At 49.9% G+C, this 6,853-nt stretch overlaps 2 annotated features.

Moving 5' to 3' along the window:
* Positions 2,394-2,894: an enhancer, noted in NCBI's record as "H3K4me1 hESC enhancer chr1:48032789-48033289 (GRCh37/hg19 assembly coordinates)". NCBI's record gives its function as "activates a minimal SCP1, AML or CMV promoter by ChIP-STARR-seq in naive H9 embryonic stem cells {active_cell/tissue: H9 hESC(naive)}" and the evidence as "EXISTENCE:reporter gene assay evidence [ECO:0000049][PMID:30033119]".
* Positions 4,971-5,549: an enhancer, noted in NCBI's record as "OCT4-NANOG hESC enhancer chr1:48030134-48030712 (GRCh37/hg19 assembly coordinates)". NCBI's record gives its function as "activates a minimal SCP1, AML or CMV promoter by ChIP-STARR-seq in naive H9 embryonic stem cells {active_cell/tissue: H9 hESC(naive)}" and the evidence as "EXISTENCE:reporter gene assay evidence [ECO:0000049][PMID:30033119]".

Genomic DNA, 6,853 nt, shown 5'->3' with positions numbered 1-6,853 from the left:
CCAGCACAGTGCTTGACACACAAGTAGGTGACTAATACCAACTCAACAAATAGCAACTAAAAGAATGATATGAAGATATCTGGGCCGGGCATGATGGCTCATGCCTGTAATCCCAGCACTTTCGGAGGCTGAAGCAGGCAGATAGCTTGAGCTCGGGAGTTTAAGACCAGCCTGGGCAACATGGCAAAACCCCGTCTATTAAACAAACAAAAAAAAAGTAGCCAGGTGTGGTGGCTTATGCTTGTAGTCCCAGCTACTTGAGAGGCTGAAGTGGGGGGATCACATGAGACTGGGAGGTGGAGGTTACAGTGAGCAGAGATTGCACCACTGCACTCAAGCCTGGGCGACAGAGGGAGACCCTGTCTCAAAAAAAAAAAAAAAATCTCTCTGCACAAAGTTGCAAAACCACTGCCTATTTCAGACATTGGCAAACAGGAGAGAGAGTGTAAAGGGGCAGAATTTTGAATCTGAGAAATATAGATTTGAATCCTGGTGCTGTTCTTTCCTAGCTATGCAACCTTAGCGAAGTAAATGAACCTCTCTGGTTTCCTAATGTGTTCATTCCGGGCATTATCAATAATACCAATCTCAAAGAGTTACTGCATGGACTAAAGGAGATAACGGATGTGAAAGTGCTTTGTATACAAATGTGGGCGATTATTATTATCATGACAGTTCATAAAACCCGGGTGGAGATTTTTGTTACAAACAAGTTCTCTCCCATCCCACCAGCAGTCCAGGGGCTGGCCCAGTGCTTTGTTCCCAGGAAGGGCATAGCTGGAGGGGCCGGCTGGGTTGGGGCAGAGGCCAGGGCGGGCTCCTCACTCCCACCATCTGCACTGCGGGGTCAGCCCATCTGTCCAGCAGTGGGCACACATGTGGCCTCATCTGAGGGTATGAGGTCGTCGGGGTCAAGCAGGAGAAAATTGGGGGCAGATGAGGGGAAGGTTCCAGCTTATTTTTAGAAAAGGGGGAAAGAGAGGAAGACAGGAAGGGCCTTGTTCGTCAGTATTTCCACCATGTGGATGGCAGGCGGGAGGGTGGGCAGGCAGCCAGGCCAAGGCTAGAGACAAAGATGTGTCCACTTCTGCAGCTGCTGCCACAACCACCACAGGATGGCCATCCCCGCCCACCCCACCAGCCTAGGACTGGTCCCAAGCCTGCACCCTGCCCCTTGGGGGACCCCTCTCCTCCCAGAACAAATTGAATTAGAATGGTAAATCAGATTGAATTTTTAAATTAATTGATTTATTTTTAAATTAATTTTAAAGCATCATAAAGAACCAAGATTACAAATTCCATCCTTCAAACATGCATTAAGCACCTATTCCGTGCTATTTCTGTGTCAGGCACTGGGAATGAAATTAATAAATTTAAGAAGGTCCAGTTGGTGGAAGAGCCCCTAATTCCAGTAGCAAAGAAGGATTGGAAGTTCCGTGAAAGTACAGACTATGTCTGTCTTGCTCACAGCTGTATTTCCAGCGCCTAGCACATAGGCAGCACTCAATAAGCACCTACAGAATCAGTTGCAACTATCCAACCCAAGGCAGGCTGAGGGGTTATATAAAGACACAGACACAGAGCAAAAGGGACCTGCAGAGACTGCCAATACCAGCTGTGTGATCTAGGAAGGCTCCCAGAAGAGTTGGCAATTGTGAGCTTTGAAGGCTGGAGGAGGTAATGGAGAGTGTACAGTATAAGCATAATGTAGGAGGTGGGGAAGTTTAAACCATGCATGAGACATGCAAGTGGGAGAAGAAGACCCAGGGCAGGAAAGAATGGGTTTGGGAACTGTGTCCCCCTTTGTACATTCAACCTCAGGTGACTGCACAGCCCAGCCCTGTCAGTGCAGCATTCTCACTTCTAGCCCTAGCTATATCCAGTGGGAACTCTTGTAATACGGACCCTAAAGGAAACTGCATCAGTCCAGAGGTGTTGAGCTAGCAGGACCATATCTGGGCTAGAAGAGGGATCCACTTGTTGCAGTGTAAAGAGCCTGAGGGGTGGAATCTGATGGCGGCAAGGCCAATGGGCCCTCCCAGGACAGGGCATGCACAAAGTAGGGCATGGCACACTTTGTGCCCATAAGATGTACAAATCTCCTCCTCCCAGTCCTCCCTGGGGTCTTGAAGTCCTGGAACCTCTTGGAGTTAACCTGACCTGTGTCCTAACAGGTGGCACTACAGAGTGATTAAGATGGTGACTGTTACCACCCATTAAGAGGGTGAGCTAGATTGCTAAGACGTGAATCCTGGCTATTCTATTTCCTGTGGTTCAGGATCAGTTGCTTTCCCTCTCTGTGCCTCTGTTTCTTTGTCCGCAGGATGGATGTAGCTATAGTCTGTAACACACAGGTTTTTTGTTTTTGTTTTTTGTTTTTGTTTTTGTTTTTGAGACAGAGTCTCGCTCTGTCGCCCAGGCTAGAGTGCAGTGGCGCAGATCGATCTCTGCTCACTGCAACCTCCACCTCCTGGGTTCAAGTGATTATCCTGCCTCAGCCTCCCGAGTAGCTGGGATTACAGGTGCCCGCCACCATGCCCAGCTAATTTTTTGTATTTTTAGTAGAGACAGGATTTCGCCATGTTGGGCAGGCTGGTCTCAGACTCCTAACCTTGTGATCCACCTGCCTCGGCCTCCCAAAGTGCTGGGATTACAGGTGTGAGCCACCGTGCCCGGCCTTGTAACACACAGGTTTGTTGTGACAATGAGCCAATCTATATAAAGCACTCTAAATGGTGCCTGGCTCTCAGCGTTAGCTGCATCATATCAACCTACAGCAGGTTGTGTGCAGCCGGGCAGCCTGGTCTGGGGAAGAGTGGGTTGAGTGTGCACAGCCCTCTCCAGCAGGACTCTCAGTGGAGGGTGGAGCAACCAGAGGGTGGTGGGCTTGGTGTCAATGAAGAGACTAGGCTGGGCCTGAGGAAGCTGGAGGCCTGCTCCTCAGCAGTGAGACCAGCCCAAGGCTGGACATCGGCAGGCCCGGTGCCATGAGCATCTTTATGGCTCCCGTGAGCATCTCTGGGAAGAGCTCAAAATGACAAGAATTTTCTAAATTGCTTGCTTTGCTATCCCATTTGCCGAATGCTTTGCCATTCTCAGCCCCCTCCCTCAGCCCCTGTCCTCAAACTTTTCAGTAGAACTTTGAAATATATCAGGAACAAAAAGGTGAAAGTCTAGAGACCCCAGAGAGAACTGTTAATCTCAAGTCCAAGTGGCAGCACACCTGCCAGAGCTGCCAGTGGAAAAGTGTGAGAGAGTGTGGGGTGTGTGTGTGCATACATGTGCACAAGTGAGCATGTATGTGTCCCTGACAAGAGCATACACGGACAGACACAGTTGCTGATGTGCATGTTAACAAGGGGCTGTACTAATAGTGGTCGTGGCCATGCATCTCTGTGATTGTGTGCACATGTCAGTGTGCATGTGCCTGCATTTACCATGAGTGTGTTCCCACGTGAATAGCAGCCTGGCCACAAAAGGCACAAGAGATGGCTGGCCTATATTATGCATTTAACAGCCTGGTGCTTAGTGGGTGTTCATCAACTGTGATCTCTATGTCCATTCATCTAAGTGTTCACACTTGACATTGTGTGTGGTTTGGCTGTGAGTGACTCCCGCACCAGTGCTCCTTGACGGGTCCAAAGGAATCCCCTACCAGGGGCAGCTGAAGGTTGAGAGGCAAGTTCCCAGCTGCCATCCAAGGATCTTCTTCAGATCTTCCAGAGCCCTGTTGTGGGAGGCCAGAGACCAAGCTTCTAGCTCTAGTCTTGCAGCAATTAACAAGTGTCTGCTCCTTTCTGGGCCTCAGTTTCTTCACCTTTGTCAGAAGAGGCAGCCTAGATCTCTGAGGGGCTTCCCACTCCGAAGACCCCTGGCTCTACAGAGGATGGTAATTGGGAGCAGCTGCCACTCAAGCAAGCATGGAGACATTGGGGAGGGGGGTCGCTGGGCTTCCCCAGCCTCTGGACACTGCCCTGTGGCTTATGTCAAATTGTCAGACCCAATCCTGCTTTCCTCCTGGGCAGAGCTGCCTTCAATGGACGTCAGAGAGGTGGCCTGTCCAGCCACTGTGTTTACAGAGCTCAGACGCCACCGGGAACCTGATCCAGGCATTCCAGGGTGGGCAGCCCCACTGGGCCTGCGCTGTGTCCACACTCATTTCCCGGAGACTGAACACGGCTGGCCCCCCCAGCTTGCTGGGTCCAGCTGCCCAGCTATCCTCCCACCGAAGGCCCAGCTCTTACAGGCAGGCACCTTGGATAGCCACAGATGGCATAAGGGCCCAGGGAGCCAATAGCAGGGCTGGGTGGGGGTGCAGGGTGCAGAGGGAAAAAGGAGGGGGTGTCCTCGCTCCAGACAGGTTCTCACTATTCCTTCAGGTGAGGGTGCTCTCCTGCCCCCTCTGCCAGGCACTAGTGCCCTGCTGCCTTGTTGACCGATGCGCACATTTGCTCACTCACACAGTCCTCTCCATCAGGGTTTCAGCAAACCGTATGGCCCCTGGGCCAGATCTGGCCACTGCCTGTGAGCTAAGACTGCTCTTTACATTTGTAAATGTTTGGGGGGGAAATTAAAAAAAGAAGATTTTGAGACATATGAAAATTATATGAAATTCAAATTTCAGTGTCCATAAACAAAGTTTCACTGGAACACAGCCACACTCATTCATATTTCCGTATTGTCTGTGGCTGCTTTTGCACTACAATGGCAGAGTTGAATAATTGTGACAGAGACCATATGGCCTGCAGAGCTGAGAATATTTACTATATGCCCCTTCACAGAAAATGTTTGCCAACCTCTGATCTAAATTATTCATGAGTGGCAGTATAAATCCCAGGTCTCAATCATGGGAACCCGCATAGGAGCAAGATAGAAACATCACTTTCTTTGTTTCCTGTAACTTAATTTCTTACCCCAAGTTTCTGGGGTCATTCCACATTTCTGGAATCTTACATGATGTTAAGATGTGGGGCCCAGGCAGGGAAGGACACTTAGTCCCTGAGAGTTGACTCACGTTGCTTATACCTGGGAGCCCCCACTTGATCCTGCATATCTGGCTGCCTCTGCCACCAAAATGCAACATCTCCTGGATGCACCCACAGCCCTTCCCCCCAGGGCTCTTGTTACCTCCCCAGCAAAGCTGCCTGGGACACAGAGACCTGGTCCTGTCTCTCTCCTCCTCCCCTTTATGTTTCTGAGAAGTACTCTCATTTATCCTCCTTCTCCCCTTTACTTCCTCTGTAAACACTCTCAATTTTAAAAGCTCAGAGATTTGCAGAACAAAGGCCAGAAAGGCTTGCAGGCTTTCTGTGTCCTGCCTATCACATAACTACCCTAAGGCAATGAGCTCAGAGCCAGGGGCCTGGGAGAAGGAGGAGGGCCTGGGAGGAAGGACAGACAGACCCAATGGAAACTCAAAATCCAGCCAGACATGGATTCATTCACTTTCTACTCCATTATCTCCAAAACTTCATTCCCTCATCCCCCCACTCACTCATTCAGTCATTCCTTGTGGAACACCCAAGACCCCCATCAGACTCAACAGGAAGACAGAGATGAGCAAGGCACAGTCCAGCCCTCATGTTGTCCACAGTCCAAGGCAATGGCTGACAATAATTGTTTAACAACTGGCACTTCCGGAGGAAAATGTTCTTTATCTGTAGGATTTGCTGATTTCCGTGATGTAAATATCCCACCATGGTCAATTTCAAGCTACCTACACATGACCACTGAACAGAAAGAGTTGGGAAAAGATGTGTACCATCAACTCTTACAGCTGGTAGGAGCCAACTCCAGCACACCATTGCTCCCAGGGGATTCAGACACAAAAACAGACATCGCATACACTTGAGTAGCTGTGAAATGAGAAAAGCAAAGGGGCAGTGGGAGCACAGAGGAAGAGCACCAACCCTGGCTTGGAGGGTCCATCCCCAAGGGCTTCTTAGAGGAGGTGGCATTAGAATTGGACCCCAGAGGAAGAGTAGGAGTTTGCTGGGCAAAGATGGGAGGAAAGGTCTTCACAACCAGCTCACTCCACCTGTCTCTGCTTTCTCTGTACTCCTGTGTAACCCCCACAGGCTGAGCAACACTTTTATATACAATTTGGGCATCATTTTTCTCCAGAGGTTCTTAAAGCCAGGAAGCACCTGCCTGGGCCACATGAGGTTGGTGGAGGGAGCTGGCTGGAGCCCACATGATGGTTACTGCCTGTGATTGATGTGCTATTGCTCCTGATTATCCATACCCCAGCTCCCTGCCCCTGTAGGAGGATTTACATTGCCAAGTAGCTTGCAGGGTCTCCTGTGGGCAGAGTTTACATGGGACCCCACCACACCTCTTGCTTTGGCCAGCGAAATGAGTGGAAGGGACATTAAGAGCTATTGTGTGGTTCACCCATTTTGCCTTTTGCTCTCTGCCCTGAGTATGTCATGTCCCAAATAGGGACAGCTGCTTCCTGGAATAAAGAAGACCCATGGAGCAGAGCCACAGTCAACCCACAGCCACCGCAAGCAGAATATCATGTGGGCAGGAAGTAAACTTTTGTTATTGTAAAGCCCCCATTTGGAGCATGCCATGGTGTGTCTATTACCACAGCATAATCTAGAAAAAAACTGACTAATACTCAACCCATCCCCATCCAGAACTGGCACGTGCTCCAGCATCCCCTTGGTGAGCCCACAGAGACACACTGAGTTTCCATGTCTCCTCCAGTCTTGAGCAATGGTTTATGCAACACAGGCTAATGAGGCAAATCTGGAGTCCCTGAAATGTCCACAATTCTCTACAGTTCTAGGATCACCCTATGGTCCTGGGGAAAGCGAAAGGATCCACTTATTAGTGACTTCTCCAGTTC

This window comes from Homo sapiens, chromosome 1, assembly GCF_000001405.40.
Source record: "Homo sapiens chromosome 1, GRCh38.p14 Primary Assembly".
NCBI lineage: Eukaryota > Metazoa > Chordata > Mammalia > Primates > Hominidae > Homo > Homo sapiens.
This window is presented reverse-complemented; position numbering and strand designations above follow the sequence as displayed.